This window comes from Homo sapiens, chromosome 13 (genome assembly GCF_000001405.40).
Source record: "Homo sapiens chromosome 13, GRCh38.p14 Primary Assembly".
In the NCBI taxonomy this organism is placed as follows: domain Eukaryota; kingdom Metazoa; phylum Chordata; class Mammalia; order Primates; family Hominidae; genus Homo; species Homo sapiens.
Genome location: NC_000013.11, coordinates 60,359,648 through 60,383,116, shown reverse-complemented (window position 1 = coordinate 60,383,116; position 23,469 = coordinate 60,359,648). Strand labels below are relative to the sequence as shown.

General features: G+C 36.6%; 1 long non-coding RNA gene across 1 annotated transcript in view; it reads right to left on the bottom strand.

The window, feature by feature from the left end:
• Positions 1-1,668: 1,668 nt before the first annotated feature.
• Positions 1,669-23,469, bottom strand: part of LOC105370228 (uncharacterized) — a 53,024-nt gene continuing 31,223 nt past the window's right edge. Inside the window, exon 3 of the long non-coding RNA XR_942002.3 lies at positions 1,669-2,195. This is a non-coding gene — a long non-coding RNA (uncharacterized LOC105370228). The remainder of the gene's footprint in view (positions 2,196-23,469) is intronic.

The window sequence follows — 23,469 nt, the reverse complement described above, 5'->3', positions numbered from 1 at the left end:
TTTATGCCAGGTTAGATCAGACTGAAATTAGTGTAGTGATAGCATTCATCCTTTCTAGATTAAAAGAACTTCATGTACTTTTTCATTTACATGTTCGAATGTTATCAAACAAATCACCAATTCATCGTAAGAAGCAATGAAAAAAATCCCTAGAGGCATCATTTGAGTCTATACCTTTATCTGTCCCAGGACATCCTCAAAACTACAAAATGATCACGACCATCATCATAATAGTTATCAATTACACTAAATGTATTCCCCCATAATTTTTCCTTGTTAATATGAAGTGTATTTAAATTAATTGAATGCATTTAAATTAATATGTTTACATTTATATATGAAAATGGACCCATTATTACCATTCTAACAAATATTATTTTATTATATATAAAAGGTTCAAAATATATTACTTAATATCTTTAGAGATGGTGATTAATGGCAAAAATAGGAATCATGGGAAAATAGTTTTCTTTGTGTTTTCTTAAAAATATTTTTATACACACACACACACACACACACACACACACATATATATACATATATACATATATATATATACACACACATATTCCAAAATATTTATCTGCAGGCTCACATAAGGCAAAGGAACTCTGTGTAGAATCAGACTTGTCTCCTGCTACAGGACAAGGAGCTTGAAACATTTTGCATTTTGCAGTTTCAAACTAGGCTATAAGGGAAAATTTGGTCTGGATAACTGATTGGATATAGGTTAACCTTATTTATAGCCCGGGACAGTAACAATAATCAGCTGCCAATGTCCTGAAGCCATAGTCCCGAATACAGGACAGTGGCTGAATGAAGGACAAGTGCCTGTGTGGAGTAAAGTCAGAAGTCAGGGGACTGGAGGGTGTTCCTGAAACACAGCAAAAATGAATCCTGTCTCTCCCAAGCATGCCAACCTCTTTGTCTTCTAAGGACTGGAGATATTTTCCTCCTCCCCACATCAAAATGCAAAAAAACAAAAAACAAAAATACCCCACCAAAGATAGCCCCTACTGCTGAAAAACAGCATGTGGGAGGCAGAAGGTAGGAACTGAGCTGAATAATAATATTGTTCAGCATTTCCTTCCATTATCACTGCTCTTCATTACTTCCTGTACTTAAGCTCTGTTCAGAAATGTCAAGCAAATAGCCAGGATAGTATTACCTCCAAATGCACATTCTATCTACAAATGAGCGGTGGGGGAGAGGTTGATCCTTATTATATATAAACTGTAAGTCTTTTTAAAATTCAAGGCTCTTAGAAAAGCCTGCATAAATTCATTCATTCTCAAATTTAGACCTTCCAGCAGATGATAGCTTTAAAATTGATTATTCTAACTTTAACAAAGTAAAATGAGATTTCCCAGGAAGTATTAATAAGTGGAATTAAATATAGTGGATAAAAATGTAAATAGATTAATAATGCCTGGAATGTGTATAATTTTGTTCATTATACCTCAAACTACTTTTTAAGTCTATTTTTTATTTATGTTGCAGTATTGTATCTGTATTTTTTAATCTTCATTTTATTAACAATAAAACTAAAAATATATATCAGAAGCTGTTTCTTGATCATTTTAGGTAATAAAAAGAACTCAGGGATCCTGGGTAATTCAAGTCACTATATATATTAGCTGTCATAAATTCTCAACAAATGGCCCTGACTGTGACCCTTGTTATACTATTGACTAACAGCAAAAAGGTAAAAGGGTTTTTTTAAAAAACAAAACAAAACAAAACAAAAAAAACACTCATTTTTGTAATACCTATAGATTCCATAAGGTGGTAATGAGTTAGGCTCATTAGAGTAGTTACAGGAATGTGACAGACCCAGTAGAAAAATACCCTTCTCTTTGAAAGTAATATATTGAGGGGCATGCAGTCAAAAGCTTATTGGGTTAGAAATAATATTGGAAGCTCTTCTTCACACCAAAACCCTGTCAAAGACTTACTTACTTTCTCCAATTTCTCTCCTCTATTTTCACTTAAACCCATCTCATTTTGTCCCCATTACTCCTTTGAAACTGCTCAAGGTCATCATAGGTCTGCAGATTGCCAAATCCAGTACTCAGTCTTTCTTTACCCTTTTGTGGCCAATCAGCCTTGACAATGGACACAGTTGAGCATTTCTTTCACTCTGATACATATTCTTCATTTGACTTGCCAGATACCATAGTCTCTTGATTTTCTTCCTACAAGAGAGAGAACAACTTCATAGAAATTGACCCATTTGAAAGATTTTAAAAATATTCTCAGAAAGACATTCTTTGTCAATGCCCTATAATCCAAGATGGCTGAGGGTTCAGTGATCTGAAGGTTTGCAATATTATACAAATAAAATAATCTGCACTAAGCTAGAGAAATATAAACAAAGCAGGAGGTGGGAAACCTAGCATGAGATGAAACTGGCACTTAAAAGAAGTCTGATGGTCTGGCTCCTACCTAGCATCACTTGTTATAAATTCTCTTCTTGCAACAGGGGATAATTATTTTAATTGCAAATATTCACTGGGTTTGCAGCTTGGGGGCCAAAAGTCAATTAGCCATTGCCTCTTCACTGGCAGACCATATGTTCACTGTGCTGGGAGACAAAGGCCGAGATAAAGGTCCTGAAACTGGGGTCTAGGCAAACAAAGAAGGAACTGAAGGTAGTTGCTAAGAAGTACAAATCCCCTGCCCAGCTTCTATGTTGAAAGACTCTAACTTTACATCAACAGAGTTGGTGATTAACCCATGGAATTTACAGACTCAGAGCTAACTAAATTCTTTTAAAAACTGCGCTGCCAAAGAAATTCCAAGATTAATAAACAAAAGTTGATAATTACTAAACCCCTAAGTCCTAAGAAATCCCTTCACTTCCTCTCAGTGATGTCCTGGTAGAATGGTAATACTGGCTATGGGGAGCATTTGATTCATAGTTGCTGATTTTGTGGTATAAATACTCCCTTCATGGCCATTTCAAGCTATCAACATGTTTCACTGGATACAGAGGTGAGAAGGGATGTATACAATTGGCTCTCACACTCCTGTCTCCTCTGTACCAGGAAGTGGGGTGTAAAGATGTACATCCACCACAAGGGGCTTCCTTCCTATTACTCATTATCTATGGAGGATACCAGATTTGGGAGAGCTTTCCAGAGGGAAGAAAAGAGGCAGCTAAATTCGCTGTCCAAAAATTTTCTTTTACCACCCAGTCAAAAAGTTCCTCATCTGCAGGACATGATATATAATATTGAGTCAGTCACCACTTAAAGTTGTTTCCCATTCTATCCTCCTCTCTAAAAGAGTTCTAAGTTGATATTAGCCTATTTCTATCTACAATTACATTTTGAGTGTATTGGGAGGGATTAGATTTATCATTTATCTATAAGTTCTCAGACCATGAGAATTATATTAAGATCTAAACATGCTGATATGGTTTGGATCTGTGTCCCTGCCCAAATCTCATGTTGAATTGTGATCCCCAATGTTGTAGGTGGGGCCTGGTGAGAGGTGATTGGATCATGGGGGAAGGTTTCCCCTCTGGTGATGTTCTTGTGACAGTGAGTGAGTTTTTGTGAAATCTGGTTGTTTAAAAGTATGTAGCACCTCCCCGTCTCTGTCTTCTTCCTGCTCTGGCCACATAAGATAAGCCTGCTTCCCCTTTGCCTTCCCATGACTGTAAGTTCCCTGAGGCCTCCCTAGAAGCAGATGCTGCCATGCTTCCTGTACAGCCTGCAGAACCGTGAGCCAATTAAACCTCTTTTCTTTATAAATTACCCAGTCTCAGGTATTTCTTTATAGCAGTGTAAGAATGAACTAATACACATGCATAACCGAGATATTATAGATTTATAGTTAGATGCAGTAATTGTACCAAATGCTGAGTTGTCTCACTTGCGGGAAGGCATGAGTACACATGAAAGTGTGTCATTACGTGGCAAATTAAGACATGTTTGGAAGCTTATCTACATGAAGAAAGATGTGTAGTGATGTTAAGTTAATCAAAGGGTAGGTTCCAGATGATTTTCTTAAGTCATTACCCCGCTTTTGCTAGCAGTTTTGTATTTGAACTTCTTTTGGGTTCCCATTTCTCTGCAACTCTTGCATCCATGTGGTTCAGGTACAATTTCATCTCTTGTTCCAGGGATGAAGCATATGACTCAGGCCTGGCCAGTCAGACTACTAATTTCCCCTAGGGGATAATTTGATTTGGAATGGGAATATGACCCCAGTTGGTCCAGTAAAAATAGCATCTAAGATTCTGCTGGAGTTACCAGTAAGAGACATGTTCCCTTTTTACATAGGTTTAAATCCGGGATGATACAAGCCTGGAGATACAAGAAACCACTGCTTGAGGCCTTAAAATGATGCCCCACAGTGGATAGCATGGTTGAAAAAGATAACTTGATTTATTTTAGCCCTTGAATCAAGCCAAACCTGATGAAATTAGGTTGTACAGGCCAATACATTCTTCAGCCTGTTTGAATTGGATTTTCTCTCTTACAACCATTTCAAGCACTTCTCTGGTGTATTTCAAATTGAAGAGAAAAAATTTACACTAGATTATAGAAGTTGTATATTTAATATGCACACTTCATCTGATTCCCTTAACCACAATCTACTTGTTTAATTAAATGGAATGCTACCATTTCAAAAAGAAATCAAATAGCATTTAGGAAAGCTAGAATACTGATTATTTTATTCCCTATCTGAAACCTTTCAAAAACTCCAGAAAATTAATGCATAAAACAAACACTGGCATATTTTATGTTTACCAAATAAAATTGAAAATTGAGATTTCCACAGTAGCTGGTTTCTGTGACATTGCCCCAACTGTGTCATCTTATGATCAAAAATTCTACTGCCATCAAGGTCTTGTCTCTGCTGTCTGTGTTCCATTCAATTTTATTGACCCACAGACCTGTCAGATTTTTTGTCTCTACAGAAATCAAGATGATAAATAGCTCATATAATTAAATAATTTATATAATCACAATAGGAGATGGGCATGCTCTACTAAAATATCCCTTTTTGCCATGACATACAGAAATATTTTGGAACAAGCTGACCTTTCGGTGTCCTCCAAATAAAAGTTGTACTGGAAACTACCACTTCACCAAATTATTCCAACAATGCTAGTGAGTCTTCTTTTTAAGTCATAAGTTAAACTGAATTATTTCTTGAAAGAGCATGGGACTTTGAACATGGCAAAGCTTTACTTACATTAAAGATGATTAAGTATCATCTGGTACAGGAAAATTGCGATCCAGACATAAATTAATCTATCTGCTCTCCCTACATTTAACAATTTTTTTTTTTTTTTGAGACAGAGTCTCTCTCTGTCACCCAGGCTGGAGTGCAGTGGCGTGATTTTGTCTCATTGCAACCTCCGCCTCCCGAGTTCAAGGGATTCTCATGCCTTAGCCTCCCAAGTAGCTGGGATTACAAGCATGAGCCACCATGCCCAGCTAATTTTATTCTATTTTTAGCAGAGACAGAATTTCACCGTGCTTGGCAGGCTGGCCCCAAACTTCCAACCTCAGGTGATCCGCCCACCTTGCCCTCCCAGAGTTCTGGGAGCCACCATGCCCGGCCCTAATAATCTATAAAATAAAATATTTGTCCTTCCATTGAACAAAGATGCCACATTTTCTTTTTCTCATTTCTTCATATGGTGTTTTATGTTTAAAACATATTTCATTTTCTCATTCTTATATTCATAAGAAATGATTTCTGTCTATTACACAAGGGTCAGGTAACTTCCAAGGTTAAATCTTAAAGTACCAGATCTCAGTTGGTAGTCTCAGAAAGTCTAGAGTTTGAACAGAAGAAAGTAAAGAATTTGTACAACACAAGAAGGAAAGAAATTAGGCACCAAATTTGTATCTGAAGAAAAATATTTAGACACTTAATGGGATACAAACATTCAGGGAACAATTGCTCTTAATTTGCTGGGCTGGGGCTAGACCAGCACTCAGTCAGAGTTCAGAGGGTACTGCTCAGTGAATAACAAAATTAAGCAAAATGCTGGATCTAGTCCTCTGGCTTCATATTCTTTTTTTTCCTCGAGACAGAAGCATGTTTACTGTGCCTGTTTTATAAAATTTGCAAAAGAAGGATACTTTACTCACTTAGCTAAAGCCACTGTCTCTTTCTACTCTGCATTGTCATTGTGCAGGCATTTTCTGGATTTGCCTAAGGGGAACTGTGTTGGGTTACATTTAGTTTGGGTTTGGTGGCATGTATTTAATGTGGTTTGTAGGTACTTTTCTTTTTTTTGTTTTTTGACGTTTTATAGCACCCCCCTCTTTATTGGTCTTCATCGCCAACAGAAAAACTTACAAAAGAAAGAAAATGTGCTTTGTTATATTTAGAAAATATATTAATTTTCAAAGTGGGGGCACATTGCTATATATGCATGTTGTTTAGGTCAGACATATTGAAGAGTCACAATTTGAAGGTAAATATTAAAACATCTTTTTAATTAAAGGCATTTCCGCAAATGCCTAGGGATTATTCTTTTTTTGTTATTATTATACTTTAAGTTCTGGGGTACATCTGCAAAACGTGCAGTTTTGTTACATAGGTATACACATGCCATGGTGGTTTGCTGCACCCATCAACCTGTCAGCTACATTAGGTATTTCTCCTAATGTTATCCCTCTCCTAGCCCCCCATCCCCCAACAGGCCCTGCTGTGTGATGTTCCCCTCCCTGTGTCCATGTGTTCTCATTGTTCAACTCCCACTTAAGAGTGAGAACATGTGGTGTTTGGTTTTCTGTTCTTGTGATAGTTTGCTGAGAATGATGGTTTCCAGCTTCATCCATGTCCCTGTAAAGGACATGAACTCATCCTTTTTTATGGCTGCATAGTATTCCATGGTGCATATGTGCCACATTTTCTTTATCCAGTCTATTATTGATGGACATTTGGGTTGGTTCCAAGTGTTTGCTATTGTGAATAGTGCTGCAATAAGCATACGTGTGCATGTGTCTTTATAGTAGAATGATTTATAATCCTTTGGGTATATAACCAGTAATGGGATTGCTGGGTCAGATGGTATTTCTAGTTCTAGATCCTTGAGGAATCACCACACTGTCTTTCACAATGGTTGAACTAATTTACACTCCCACCAACAGTGTAAAAGCTTTCCTATTTCTCCACATCCTCTCCAGCATCTGTTGTTTCCTGACTTTTTAATGATCGCCATTCTAAATGGCATGAGACAGTATCTCATTGTGGTTTTGATTTGCATTACTCTAATGATCAGTGATGATAAGCATTTTTTCATACGTCTGTTGGCTGCATAAATGTCTTCTTTTGAGAAGTGTCTGTTCATATCCTTTGCCCACTTTTGATGGGGTTGTTTTTTTCTTGTAAATTTGTTTAAGTTCTTTGTAGATTCTGGATATTAGCCCTTTGTCAGATGGATAGATTGCAAAAATTTTCTCCCATTCTGTAGGTTGCCTGTTCACTCTGATTTATAGTTTCTTTTGCTGTGCAGAAGCTCTTCAGTTTAATTAGATCCCATTTGTCAGTTTTGGCTTTTGTTGCCATTGCTTTTGGTGTTTTAGACATGAAGCCTTTGCCCATGCCTACATCCTGAATGTTATTGCTCAGGTTTTCTTCTAGGATTTTTATAGTCCTAGGTCTTACATTTAAGTCTTTGATCCATCTTGAGTTGATTTTTGTATAAGGTGTAAGGAAGGAGTCCAGTTTCAGATTTTTGTATAAGGTGTAAGGAAGGGGTCCAGTTTCACTTTTCTGCATATGGCTAGCCAGTTTTCCCAACACCATTTATTAAATAGAGAATCTTTTCCCCATTGCTTGTTTGTGTCAGGTTTGTCAAAGATCAGATGGTTGTAGATGTGTGGTGTTATTTCTGAGGGCTCTATTCTGTTCCATCAGTCTATGTATCTGTTTTGGTATCAGTACCATGCTGTTTTGGATACTATGGCCTTGTAGTATAGTTTGAAGTCAGTTAGCGTGATGCCACCAGCTTTTTTATTCTTGCCCAGGATTGTCTTGGCTATGTAGGCTCTTTTTTTGGTTCCATATGAAGTTTAAAGTAGTGTTTTCCAATTCTGTGAAGAAAGTCAGTGGTACTTTTCTTACATAGTTTTTTTTGTTTTGTTTTATTTTTTGTCTTTTTGAGACAGAGTCTTGCTCTTGTCACACAGGCTGGAGTGCAGTGGCCCGATCTTGGCTCACTGCAACCTCTGCCTCCCGGGTTCAAGCAATTCTCCTGCCTCAGCCTCCCGAGTAGCTGGGATTAGAGGCTCCCACCACCACACCCAGCTAATTTTTGTACTTTTAGTAGAGACGGGGTTTTGCCATGTTGGCCAGGCTGGTCTCGATTTCCTGACCTCAGGTGATCTGCCCCCCTCGGCCTCCCAACGTCTTACATAGTTTTAAATGCTGGCTGTTCCAATGTAGGAATGGCTTCCAGCAATCTTCTAACACCACACTGTACGGAACCACCGAACATCTTAATACAAAGGCCTCAATTACAAATTTTTTGATCTCCTATCAGCTCATATATGAAAGAAATTTTATAGAGATAGTTTCTCAAATTTAGCAACAATATTAAAATTGTACATCAACCTTATCAAGAAGGAGTTGTGAAGCTGAAACTTTTCTAAACTTTCAAAAGGAGAACCAAGTTTACATCAACGATGCTAGGGAGAAGCCTGAATTATTTTTCTATTCCCTGGATAAAAAATTATATTCTGAAATTATTGTCATATGAAGAGACAATCAGTGAGTTTGAGGATAAAAAGTGTAAGGAAAAAATTTTTATAGAGACATATCAGAAAGTTCATCATTTAAAAGCATTTTGTTAAATTTCTGGATATTACGATCTTTGTGGTATTTTTTAGCTTTTTGAGATTTATAATTTGTTGTGCTTTTCACTATATTTCTAAGTAAATACTCACTTTCTTGCCAAATATTTGTGCGTAATTTTGTATTCTATTTCTTAAAGAAGTGCCACCCCTCCCAAATTGTATAAACTTGAGGACACATAAAATATGGATCCACACATTCCTTCAAAATAAATATCAACAAAATTATATCTATATGAATGCAAAGTAAAAATTTGTGTCTGTCATCCCAGAGTTTCCAAATATCTAGATGATTTGCTGAATTAAAAAAAAAAGCTCATCAAAATGTTTAGCATCAAATGCCCATAATCAATGGATGGCATTGCAGGAACAAACACATTAGAATCTGATTTACAGCCTCTGCCAATTCTCCAGGCAGTGAAACATCATTTGTTTGAGGGTTCAGTCCTACTAAAAATTAAAGAAAGTTTTAAATTACTCTCTTTATCATGGAAAATTATTTCTGACTTCTTGCCTCCTTATCATATAGTTCTTCTCATCTAAACACAGCGAGTTCTTCCTTTGCATTTTTATTCATTATCTTTTACCTAAGCATAAAACAGTCACTATCAATTTCTCACCAGTTCCTGAACATTTCTAAGTTGAAATTATTTTAGAGTAGTTATTCATGGGGCTTGCAAATTGAAATGAGAAAGCACTGAAAATCAATTTCATTATAAGCTTTGAAGTAAAGGGATGTTGCATCAAAAAACTTTACTGGTTGGCAGGTGGTATTTACTTATTTTATTCTGGAATGCTACAGCACAGCAGCTTTTAAACCACTGAAAAACCCAGCTGGTGATTTTCTGAACATATTCCCTATACATAATCAGGGAAGTCTCAGCTTGACTGGGTGTTTGCACAGAATTCACTGAAAAGAATACATCTGTATTATTTCATGGCAGTGACTTCATTTATAACATTATGCACTTTCCTTCTCATAGTGGCTGCTTCAGTTAACGATCCTGTTCCATAGCAGGTTGGTTATTTTCCCTGGTGGGTATCAAAATAGTGAGACTAACAAATGATTCTCAAAACCCTGAGGACAGTTCAAAAATCAAAGTTTGCTGTATTTAATGGGCCAAAAACCTAAGGTTTTAAAGTCGTGCATACACAAGCAGTGTGATGTGGAGAACAGCAATTGACACTCTGAAATTTTAATACCCTAAAGTGCTAGTGGCATCTGACCTCTATGGGAGACCAAAGCTCTTCCCTACCCCTACTCACTCCAACTAGTGAAAGAGTCAAGGACAAAATGGAGTCCAAAGAACACCAGATTTAGGTCTTTGTATTAGGGAAGGACATTTTAGTGGAAATTGCAAAGATATAGTTAATAGAATTATAATAAGAACATCAGCCTCTTTCCTTCCTAAGCCACTGGACTGATTTTCTTCATTCTCATCCCCTCCATGTGACTATACATCAAGGCAGAGCCTGGGGGTATTTCCCATAGGGGAACTCCACCCTACTACAACTTAAACAGTGTAGTTCTTTGGAATACTGGGATATCTGAGAGCAAACAGAAGGCTGTTTACCAGCAGAATTCTTATTGGGAATGCCTTAAATTTGGAAGGTTTAAATGGACAGCTGGGTGACACCAGGGAAAGAAGACAATGAAAGCTCTTCTCCAGTCCTTACAGAGAAGTCTCTCTTTTTCTCTACCTAGCTTCAGAGGTGAAATTCCAGGGTGCCAGGGAGAGTGGTGCAAGCCTCCTGAAGGAAGCCAAGGAGCAAGCCTCCAACTTGTCTCTGGTGTAATTTGAAGAAAGTCTCCTGATCTTGTGTTGAACGACAGCACCAAGCAGAAAACCAGATAGGAGTTCTGACCAAAGTCCAGGCATCAGGCCTGAATAACATAATGCCTGTAGGATCAGGTAGGTAACATGACTGAGCCAGGCAGGCCAACTCTAAGGTAAACAATGGCATGAGTGCCATGATAAAGGATCAGTGCCATTTGCCTTCAGGGTCAGAGACAGGAGAAAGCGGTAGGGCTGTGGCCAACTAGAGTGCCTGCCCTGTCCAAACTGGGCAGCTGCTCCTCTACTCTGGCTCATTGCTACCAAACATTCCAATTTTTCAAGGGAAATTGGAAATCTGGGTTTTTAATGTGAAATCTCCTGATTTTTAAGGTTCTGTCAATTAATTAAAACTTTTTAAAAAACTGGCCGACACCATCCAGGCTAAGCAAAATATCTGCAAACTGGATGTGGTTTATGGGCCATCAATTTGTAGTTTCTGTGTGGTGTCCCCCCTGTGTTACATGATCTTCATGTCTTAGCAACTGCGTGGCAGTAGATAGTTGTTTAAAGAGTCAGGAGATCTGGAGTTCGTACCTCTTTATATCATCAGATGGTGGAACTAAGACTACCTACTTAATAAATAATAAATTCTAAAAACAAAAAGCAATGATTAAAATTCAAAGTAATATGACTATTATATTGCATTTAATTGGAATTGAAGATGATAATTTTGCTTTAATTTCAAAAGCTGGATAGAGAAAAACCAATGGGATATAGGCCAAGCTACAAACCATAGAAAACGCAGGAAGATTGCAGTGCTATAAAACACATGTTGACAATAATGAATGCAGATGACATCTTAAGGATAAGCTTTAATGTAGGATAAATTACTCAATTCTATGGTTTTTAGAATAAGTAATTTTAGCACACAAAACAGAAATACATTATATTAGATGTGGATGAAAGTAAAAATAGGAAGTCCTATCTATAGAAAATCTGATCATATACCATTAATGTATGAGCTATCTCAATATAATTAAACTTAAGGGAAAATAAAAAAATGCTATAGCACATTTACCTTATTTTACCAATACAATAAGATAAGTGCATTTATGAAGAAAATAATCATGAATTAATTTAAAGTAAATAAGCCACAGGCTCTCTGCAGATAATTTAAAAACTACTCACCGGGAGCTAAAAAAAAAAAAGTGTGGCATGAACGAAAATGACAAGGATCCTTCATGGTTGATTAAAATGTCTTTTAAAAAAGGCAACATTGGCCCAGCACAGTGGCTCATGACTATAATCCCAGCACTTTGGGAGGGTGAGGTGGGCGGATCACCTGAGGTCAGGAGTTTGAGACCAGCCTGGCCAACATGGTGAATCCCTGTCTCTACTTAAAATACAAAAATTAGCCAGGTGTGGTGGCATGCAGCTACCTGTGAGGCTGAGGCAGGAGAATTGCTTGAACCCAGGAAGTGGGGATTGCAGTGAGCCAAGATCATGCCATTGTACTCCAACCTGGGTGACAAGAGAGAAAGTGTCTCAATAATAAATAAATAAATAAATAAGGCAACATCAAAGGTTCTATTACAGAAAAGGATAGAGATTCTCTCTAAAAATGTGGGAGGCTAAGGAGGGAGGACTGCTTGAGCCCAGGAGTTCAAGGCTGCAGTGAGCTATGATCGTACTACTATGCTCCAGCCTGGACAACAGAGCAAGATGCTGTATCTAAAAAAAAGTAAAAAATAAAAATAAAATCAAAATGTAAAGATTGCTCAAGCTGAAGGCCATTTGAAAATTAAATTATGTGAGGAAAAAAATTAAGGGCTTATCTTGAATTAAAATATCAATGATATAAAACAGAGGTCCCCAACCTCTGGGCCACAGAACAGTACCAGTCTGTGTCCTGTTAGGAACTGGGCCACACAACAGGAAGTGAGTGGCGGGTGAGCAACCGAAACTGACATCTTCCTCCTGTCAGATCAGTGGCAGCGTTGGATTCTCACAGGACCGTGAACCCTATTGTGAACTGCACATACAAGAAATCTAGGTTGCATGCTCAGTATGAGAATCTAATGCCTAATAGTCTGAGCTAGAACAGTTTCGTCCCAAAACCATTCACCCATCCCCCTGACGAAGCCCGTCCCTGGTGCCAAAAAGGTTGGGGATTACTGATATAAAGAACCAAACACACACACACACACACACACACACACACACACACACACACACACACCAGGAAAACTGGGGAAATCTTAATATGATTGGTGAATTCTGTCAATGTCAATATCCTCATTGTGATACTGTATTATTGTTCTACAAGATGTTACTATTGGGGTAACTGGGTAAAGGGCACCTGGATCCTCTCATATTATTTCTTACAACTGTATGTAACTCTATAATTATCTCAAAAAAAAAGTTTAAGCACAAAAACTAATAAAAACATAAAAGATTAATAGTTTTAAAAATGTTAACAGGTATGGATCTTGCTAGATAGGCACTTAATAATCACAGTGTAAAAGAAGGACAGAGGAGACTAGAGAGAGAAAAAATGAGTTGCTTGCTTCAGTCAGAGAAACATATGAGAGAACTTCTCATTTCCATATTGTTTTTTTGAAAGAGAAAGGTAGCTGGTGCTATAGCAAATATAAAAAATGGCATGTCCCAGCTTCAAGTTAGTGCTAGTTAAGTTATGGTACTATTCTTCAGAATCTTTAACTTGTTGCTGTTAGCCACTGTCAGCCTGAGGGCAGGCACAGTGCTATCTATTACCTATGAGAGTAGCTGGCATATAATAGACATTTAATAAATGTTTTATTTTTATTTTTTTAAAAATGAAAGAATAAGGAACTGATGGCCTAATGATTGAAGAAATGCCAGAGTAAGCCCTTTCTTCAGGAGGTAGTATAACCCAATAATTAAGTGTATGAACACTGGACTTAGTCTGCCTGGGTTCAGATCCTGGCTTTGTTCCTAACTAGCTGGACAAGTTATTCAACCTCTCTAATGTTTAGGTTCCCACCCTTGAAATGAGGATGATGACAATAACATGACCTACTTCAAAGGTTTTTGTAAAGCTCAAAAAACAATGCAACTAAAGCACACTAGCACAGAGCCTAGTTGACAATAAACACTAATGAACATTAGTTGTTACTGTCCATAAAATAATCCCAGTGGTAACACTGAGAATTGCAGGCCAGTAATCTTTCTGCCATATGGATGAATTTGTTAAATGTAGAATAATAGTAATCACTAGCAACTAAGCTAAGTAGAGCAAATACAAGAGGATAATCCTTACATAATGACTGGAGTTATGCACAAATATAATTGTTTATTAAATACTTAGTAAATACCAGCTACTTTATGCAGTAGTTAACTCTCCTAACAACCCTAGGAGGTAGGTACTATTATTTTGCCCATTTTACTCCTCAACAATGTGAAAAAAAGAGGTAGGTAAACTAACTTGCTCAAAGCCAAACAACTTGAAGCTGGAAGAGCCAAACTTTGAGCTGAGGTATTACCTCCAGAGCCATTGCTTTGATGTCCACGACAGCTGGTCTTTTTGGGGAGATAATTAAAGATAAAATTTAAAGCATGATCAAGGACCTAAATATTGATACTAAAGTACTTACTGTAGATTCTCAGGCAGTGCATACTTTATGAGATAGTAAGCACCAAAAATTGCGGGGAAATAAAGGTCTCCAGTGTCAATAGAAATTCTTTTTTTTTTTTTTTGAGACAGAGTCTCACTCTGTTGCCCAGGCTGGAGTGTATTGGCACGATCTTGGCTCACCCGCCTCCTGGGTTCGAACGATTCTCCTGCCTCAGCCTCACAAGTAGCTGGGACTACAGGTGTGTGCCACCATGCCCGGCTAATTTTTTGTATTTTTAGTAGAGATGGGGTTTTACCATATTAGCCAGGATGGTCTTGATCGCCTCACCTCATGATCCACCCACCTCAGCCTTCCAAAGTGCTGGTACCACAGGTGTGAGCCACAGCGCCTGGCCAGAAATTATTTCTAATGGATATCTAACTCATATTAAGGCAGTTTTATAAATAAAAAAGTATGTATAGATTAACTTTTGAATGCCTCAATGATTCTGGAGAGACACTTCTAAAATGATCAAGTAATTTCTGGAAAAATAAACAAAAACTGTTGAAGAGAAAATTGGTGACCTGTTGCATCTGAATGAACTTGAGCAACTAGAAGACAGAGGGATTGAGAAATATATATATATATATATATAAATATATATATAGTTATATATATATCTAATTATATATATAGTTATATATCTAATTATATATATAGTTATATATATATCTAGTTATATATATCTAGTTATATATATAGTTATATATATAGTTTTATATATATAAAATCATTGTACATATATGTATAATCAGTGTATATATATGTATATAAAATCACTGTACATACTTGTAAGTTCTAATTTTTTGTTTTCCATGTATTATTTACAAAAACAAATGACTAAAAAATGAAATGACAAGGGCTAAGTGTATTTGTTCATTCACACACTGTTGTAAAGAATAACCTGGGACTGGGTAACTTATAAAGAGGTTTAATTGACTCACAGTTCCACAGGCTGTACAGGAGGCACGGTTGGGGAGGCCTCAGGAAACTTACAATCATGGGAGAAGGGCAAAGGGGAGGCAAGCACATCTTCACATGGTGGCAGGAGAGAGAGAGAGAGAGAGTGAAGGGGAAAGTACTATATGCTTTTAAATAACCAGATCTCCTTAGAACTCACTCAGTATCATGAGAACAGCAAGGGAGAAATCTGCCCCCATGATCCAATCACCTCCCACCAGGTCCCTCCCCCAATATTGGGAATTACAATTCAACATGAGATTTGGGTGGGGACACAGAGCCAAACCATATCACTAAGTATCTAGTTTGATGCTATAAAAAGCTAAAGTATTAAACAAATCATCCCTAGGTATTTACTAGATTAGATAGATGTTGGCTTCAAACAATATGCCGTTTATATTTTCTCTTAAATTTGATTGTGGTTAATTACCTAATGTTAACTTTTGATTTCACATAATATTACCACCTGGTTTAATAACTTTTCTTCCACACAACTTCAGTCTTTTAATATTAAGGTTTAATTAACATTTTTAAAGTCTGGTCTCAACTTTATATATTTCCTTGCTTGTCTGATATAACAGTAAGGAATGTTGTGGTAGGCTGAATAATAGTCCTTCCAAAGTTGTCTACGTCTAAGCCCCAGAAACTGTGAATATGCAACCTTACATGGCAAAGGGATTTTGCAGTTGTGATTAAAGTGAGAATCTTGAGATGAGTCTCCTGGATTATCTAGGTGGACCTGATGTAATCAGAAGGGTCCTTATGATAGAAAGGATGGATAGTCAGAGAAGGAGATGTAAGGACAGAAGCAGAGGGAAGAGCGATGCAGCCCAAGAGCCAAGGAATACAAGCAACTTCTAGAAGCTGGAAAAGGCATGCAGCATATTCTCATTAGAGCCTCCAGAAGGAATGAAGTCTTGCCAACACCTTGATTTTAGCCCTGTGAGACCCATTGCAGACTTCTGACCACCAGAACTATAAAATAACACATTTGTGTTGTGTTACGTCTCTAAATTTGTGGTGATTTTTTTACAGTAGCGATAGAAAACTAATATAAATGCTGTGTTTTCAGTTTTTGAATATTGTAAATAAGAGAACAAATGCATAGATAATAGCAACATCTAGAGCTAATGTAACACAATAAATAAAGGTTTTACTATAAGCAAGAGGTTTAACCACAAAATCCAATGCTGTTATAACAAGAGGAGAAAATAAACAAAACTAGTTATATCAGCAAGTAAATGTGTAAACATTAAATAATTATATTGGAAGTAGAAACTTGTTATTAAAATTAAATTGGATTAAACAAATGTTTATTGACCTAGGCTGGGGTGTCAATCAAGGTCTGAGTCCCAGGTGAGTTGATCCAGGGCCATAAGGTAAGCAGAGAGCAAGAGCAGGATGGAAATTCATGGGTCTGCCATGAGGCCATGAAGGATAAGAGATTGTTTCTGGAAGCAGAGCATGGAGAAAAGCCCTGATGCAATGGAGTGCATGGTAGAAGGGAACCTGTAGGTGAGGAGGAATCCTGCACCTGCACCTACATCAGTGGGAAAGGACGAAGTCATTAGGACTTTCCCAAACAACTAGAACGGCCATGGTGATTTGCCTGATTAGTGATTTTATTCTTTAGCTGATAAAAGGCAAGTAGACTTTTCTCAATCCGGTCCGCAATATAAGAATAATTGATCGTCACTATGGCCGTAATGTCAATACAACCGTCAGCACAGTGCCCATGTGGAATCAGAACTCTTTTTCCATCACATGGTTTTATAAAAGAATAAAATAATACCGATAGTTTATTTCGCTATGTCCCTTCCTTCCCTCCTTCCCCCAACTCTCAGGTTCTTGAGCCCAATAGATGGACAGTGAAACATTTAAAAGAAACTCTTCGACACATTTACTTTGAGTTTTTGTAAATATAAGTAATAAAAGTTCCAAAAATTGTGTTCACTTTAGAGCAATTTATTAGTAATTACTTAAACATATCTTCTCTTAGAAACTAAAAATGGAAAGGAGTGTTGCTAAGTGGAATTACAATTCATTGGTAAAACAGAATTAACATTTTTAGAGTATAAATATGAAGAGTGACATTTCATATAGACTGACTAATATAATCATTTCTATTTCACTTTCTTGACTTTTAAAACAAATCTACCTAACTTCTAACTTCTAAAACAAAATTGAAAAAGTTAGTGGTCTTAACTCACTTAAAAGCAGGTTAAATATGTTATGATTAAATGGGATAAATCTAACTATACTTTCAGAAATAATTCAGAGAAATACTTGTGTACACTATAGTACTGTTAAGACTAACTTGTACTTATTGTGCTCAAATTAATTACCCTATTATCTTCATTTTACAATTCTCTACACTTAGTTAAACACATGGTTCACAATATATTAAAGGATGATACCGAAAATAAGAATTAGATAAGCTTACAATATGATCATTAAATCAAATTAACTTGACTGTAGATTAAAGATAATAAAAGAAACACCATTCTTACAAAGACATGATGAGTCAAGAATGTTAAGTACTTAATACATTTTGGTTTGTCACTTGCAGAATATTTGTACCATATAAGTAAGGCTGAGATTAAGCCTTGACCTTGGATCCAGATAATTTTTACAAAATGTTTGCTCCCCCTGACTTATTTTAAGAATAGAAAAATGTTTGTATACCATTTTGCAGACAAACACGGGCACAGGGGAGGTTTCCTGGTTATAGACTCCTACTCCATGAATTGACTTTCCTGGACACAGCAATGGATACAGGTAGAAGGATTCAGTCTAAAGTGAGCTATTTATGTTACTATGAATCTGGGAATGGGCAGGTGACTCAAGGTAAGCCTATGGAAACCTGCTCCAGTAGCTGAAGTTTCCTTCCTTCATGATGACAAAACTGAGAGGAAGTAAACTTAGGGCTAGTGTTTGCCCCCTCTATGACCCGAAAACTGTCCTCACCGAGATCACCAATAGCTTCAGGTTGCCAAAGCTAATCATCACTTTGACCTCTTACTTAACCTCTCAGCAGCATCCAAAGCAGTTGACCACTTTATCTTCCAGTTGGCCACGTTGTCCTCTTTGAAACTCTTCTCTTGATTTCTATGACACCACACCCTCTTGCATTACTCCTCATTCACTGGCCAGTTCTTCTTAGGCTTCTGGCTGTCTCCTGTTTTCAGCTGCTCTAAATGTTGGAGTACTCTAAGATTATTTCCTGGACATCCTTCCCTTTTCTACTTACACTCTTGCCGTAGAGAGTCCTATCTAGATCCTAGGATTTTTAAAAATTATTTTATTTATTTATTATTATTTTATTTTACTTTTGAGAAAGGGTCTTACTCTGTTGCCCAGGCTGGAGTGCATTGGCACGATCTTGGCTCACTGCAACCTCCACCTCCCAGATTCAAGTGATTCTCGAGCCTCAGCTTCCTCAGTAGCTGGGACAACAGGTGTGCACCACCACACCTCCTGTAATTTTTGTATTCTTAGTAGAGACAGGGTTTCGCCATGTTGGCCATGGCTGGTCTTGAACACCTGGCCTCATGTGATCCACCCACCTCGGCCTCCCAAAGTGCTGGGATTACAGGTGTGAGGCTCCACACCCAGCCCCTAGGATTTTTTTAAATCTATTTTTTGATTGAGATAAAATACATACGTATAATTTACCATCTTAATCATTTTTAAGTGTACAGCTTAGTGGTAATAAATACATTTATGTCCTTTTTTTCCCTTCATGCTATCTATATGAAAATGGCACACAAATCTCTGTGTCTCCAAGTCCATCCACTCACTTCTGCCTATTGGACATTTCTCTTAATGTCTTTGAAATCTCAAACCTACCATGGTAGAACATAATTCATGATTCTCACATTCTACCCACTTACCCTCCATCGTAAACTATCTGCTTCCCTTTAACTTTTTCCATCTGAGTAAATAGCACCACCATCAACCCAGACCCAATTTGTAGCATAAAAAATATTGACATCCCTGATTCCTTTCATTCCCTTAGCCTCCAAATCAACAAATCTTGTTGATCTACCTAGTCCAAAACGTGCTCCAAGTATGGTGACTTCTGTCTCCATTATTACCACCTTAGTCCGAACACTATCATCTCTTACCTAGACTACTGCCAGACCTTCCCACCTGGTCACCTTGTTTCCACTCTCATGTACAATAACTTCTTGCCACAGCATCATCAGGCTTCTTGTCAATCGGATTCAGCTTAAATTTTACTGCACAGGGGTCTTCCATGGCCAATCATTCTCAAGCAGTCCCCCCACCTTGTTTTAATTCTTGGGATAGCTCTTCCCTGTCTCACTCTGCCTTGCTCTCCTTAATCTACATTCTTTCACAACAGGAAGATATGCTCCATGTCTTGCTCCCCACTGTGCCCCTGGCACCCAGTAGAGAGTACAGACGAGATAAACATTTATTGAATGACTAATTAAAGGAGTAATTATACTCCCTGGAGCTTCTCAACATAATTTTAAACCTCCTTCCAACCAAGAAACCTCCTTGTATTTCACAGTAGTTCTCTATACTTCTATACCAAGTTGTCAACATTAACCCCCCTCATGGTCTTACTGAGTTGTCCCTAAGGAGCACCCAAGTTTACAAAACTGAGGTCTTTGCCCTTTACTTATTGATTTGAAAGGCGCTTTATACATTAAGATATTACCTTTGCCTAACACATTGCCAATTTTTTTTTACCATTTTGTCATTGATACTTTAAATTTATTAATAAGCTTTAGTATTTGTTTGCTGATTTTTTTACTCCTATATAGAAGTTTAAATTTTTATGTTCCTCTCTTCAGTGTTGTGCTTAGAAAATTTTTTCCTTCCCAGAGATCATATGAATTATACATAATTATATCTATTGTTCTCTGGCTTATTTTAATGTAAATTGTTTCCATTTAATCCCTCTGGAAATTGCTTCACTCCGATGGGAAGGATCCAACTTTATTCTCTTCCAAATAATATATCAATTGCCCCAACATCAGCTATTCACTAGTCTAAACTTTTGCCAACAATGTCACCTTAAGGCTATATTGACGGTGGTTAAAAGGATGGCCTCAATGAAGTCTACTGTTTTTGATGCCAAATTGCTTCAGCTGTAAAAGTGGAATAATAATAGTATTTACCTCAAAGAGCGTGCCAAAAATAAAATAGTTGTGAAATACTTAACATGATTCCTGCCACATGGTGAGCATCATTATTAATCTTGTTAATATTAGTATTACTATACTTCTATTTATCTAGTCTCTGGTAGGGTAAGTTTTCATGACCTTTTAAAAAATTTCTTAATCTAGATTTTCAACTTCAAATGGAATTTTTATTGGACTTGTATGAAATATATAGATTAAATTATAGAATTGCAATATTTTTTTGAGACAGGGATCTCACACTGATGTCCAAGCTGTAGTGTAGTGGTGAAATCATGGCTCACTGCAGCCTCAAATTCCTGAGCTGAGGTCAAGCAATCCCCCTGCCTCAACCTCTGAAGTGCTGGGATTATAGGTACATGCCACCATATCCGGCTAATGTTTAAAACTTTTTTAGAGACACCCAGCCTAGAATTGCATATTTATAATATGCAATCTTCGCATTCAAGAGCACAGCATGTCTCTGATTTTTCAAGTCTTTTTAGAGGTTATATTAAAAAGTTGTTCTTTCTTTCTATTCTTGTTAAGCTTACTGCTAGGTAATTTATATGTTTCTATTGCTGTTTTGAATGGGATTACTTTTCTCATTATCTTTAATAAATGGTTAGTTGTACTTAGAATTCTATCATTATTTAAAAATTTTTCTCTGTGATGTATATTTCTCTTTTCTCATTGGTCAGATTTGTCTGATGTTTGTCTTACTAGCCTTTTAAAGATTTTCGCGTATCAATTCTATTTCTGTTTTTGTCTATTTTATTGTTTTTAACATATTCAATTATAGATTTATTAATTAATTCTTCCTGCTTTCTGTTTATTTTTTGTTTCCCCCCTCCCAACATTTTAGTCGTGTTGTACATTATTCATTTAAAAATATAGCTTTATAGCTTTAACTATATCCCATAAAAAATGTTCCCCCATGGTATTCTCTCTCTCTCTCTCTTTTTTTTTTTTTAAGTCCAGGTCTCACTCTGTCACCCAGGCTGGCATGATCACAGCTCACTGCAACCTCAAGCTCCTGGGCTCAAGCAATCCTCCTGCTTCAGCCTCCCTGGTAACAGAGACTACAGGTGCAAGTCACTGTGCCTGGCTACATTATTGAATAAGCTATTGACATCCTACATATATTTATTAATGTGCTGTCCTATTTAGTGGTTTCAACCTTTACATTTAATTCTCTCATTTTTTTTGGAACTCAGGTTTTGACTTGCATTTATTTATTACTGTGTAGCAAACTACTACAACTGGGTGACTTAATACCACTTATATTTATGACCCTTCAGTTTCTGTAGGTCAGGAGGCCAGGCATGGCTTAGACGGGTCCTCTGCTCAGGGTCTCACAGGCTGAAATCACATATTGACCAGGCTGTGATCCCTTCTGGAGTCTGGAGTTCTCTTCCAAGCCTACATGGTTGTGGGTAAAATTCACTTCTTATGATTACAGGACCCTCTTTCTTGCAGGCTCTCTGCCAAGAAGTATTATAATTCTGAGAGACCCCCACAGTTACTGGCTATGTGATCCCCTTACATCTGGATGTTTGCTTCTTTGAGGCCAGTAGGAGAATCTCTGACATTGAAACTTTTCATTAGAGGGCTCACCTGATTAGGTCAGGCTCACTCAAGAAAATTTCCCTTTTGATTAATTTAAAGTCAGCTGATTAGAGACCTTTATCACATCTGTTAAATCTCTACTTTTTCCCAGTAACATAATCTAACTACAAGAGTGACACATATTCATAAATCCTGCTTATAATCCAGTAGAAGGGATTGTAGAGGCCATGTACACTAGGAGGCAGGAATCTTGGGGATCATCTTGGAATTATGCCTCTCAAAGGGTGTTAAGTATCTTTTTAAAGTATTTTTCAGAATGCACAACAGTTTTTTCAACACCACTTTTTGATTAGCTTTTTTCTCAACAGCTTTCAGATGTCTCATTTATCATATACTAATTTATACTATATATTTGGCTCTATTTCTGAAATTTTGATTCTTAACCTATTTGGTTGTCTGAAGGCCTTGTAATATTTTAATACTTCGTAAGGTTAGTTCTACCTCACTAAAAATTCATTTCCTTTTTTAAGAGTCATTATGTTTTATTCTTTCTAATTTTTCTATGTGAAATTTAGGAACAACTTGTCTAGGTAAAATAAATCTGTTGTATTTTCACTGAGACCATATTAAATTAGCAAATTAACATAGAGGAAACTGATTTGAATCCTAATCAAGCACATGATATGTCTTTCCATTATTTCAATTGTTTTATATGTGTCCTTCCTTTGTGTTTTAATATTTTTGTGTGTGGGTCTTGCAAACTTATGAAAAAAATTGACTTAGAATTTTAGTTTTTCTCCATACTTGGAATAGTTCCAATAGCATTGGAGTCATTTTTTTAAAGGTTATGCAGAAATTCCTATAAAATTGTCTGGGCCTGGTAATTTTTCAAAGAAGATCACTTCTTGACAACTGTTATTTCTTCTTAGAAATTGGTTTGTTTACATTTTCTATCTTTTTATGGTAATTTATTCATTTCATCTAGGTTTTTCATTTATTTGCATAGAGTTGAGCAGAGTAGTCTCAGAATTCTGTGAATGTCCTCCTTCATGGGTTACTTCCTTACTGTCATTTATTAATTTGTGTAGTTACACTTTTTTTGTGTTTTTTTCTTTATTAAGCCAGCTAGTTTGTGTACTCTATTGTTTTTCCACCTCAAATAATCTGGTTTTGGATTTATCCATTTTATTTTTCTATTTTTAATTCATTAATATTTTATCTTTATTACTACTTCCTTATTTCCTTCAGTTTATTTTGATTTCCTTTTTCAAACATTTTCGGTTGCTAGCATAAGTCATTCATTTTTATTCTTCTTTGTTAAGTAATATAAATATTTAGGGCTATAATCTTTTTATTTAGCTGAGTTTTATAGTATTTTCCCTATTATTATTTTTAGAAATTCTGCAATTTAAGCTTATAGCTCTTTTTGACCCATGCCCCAAGTTGCTTAAGAATTTTTAAGTTATCAGATGAAAGGACCTTTTTATTTTCTCATTAAAGTTTTACTTGATTGTGATCACAAAGTTAT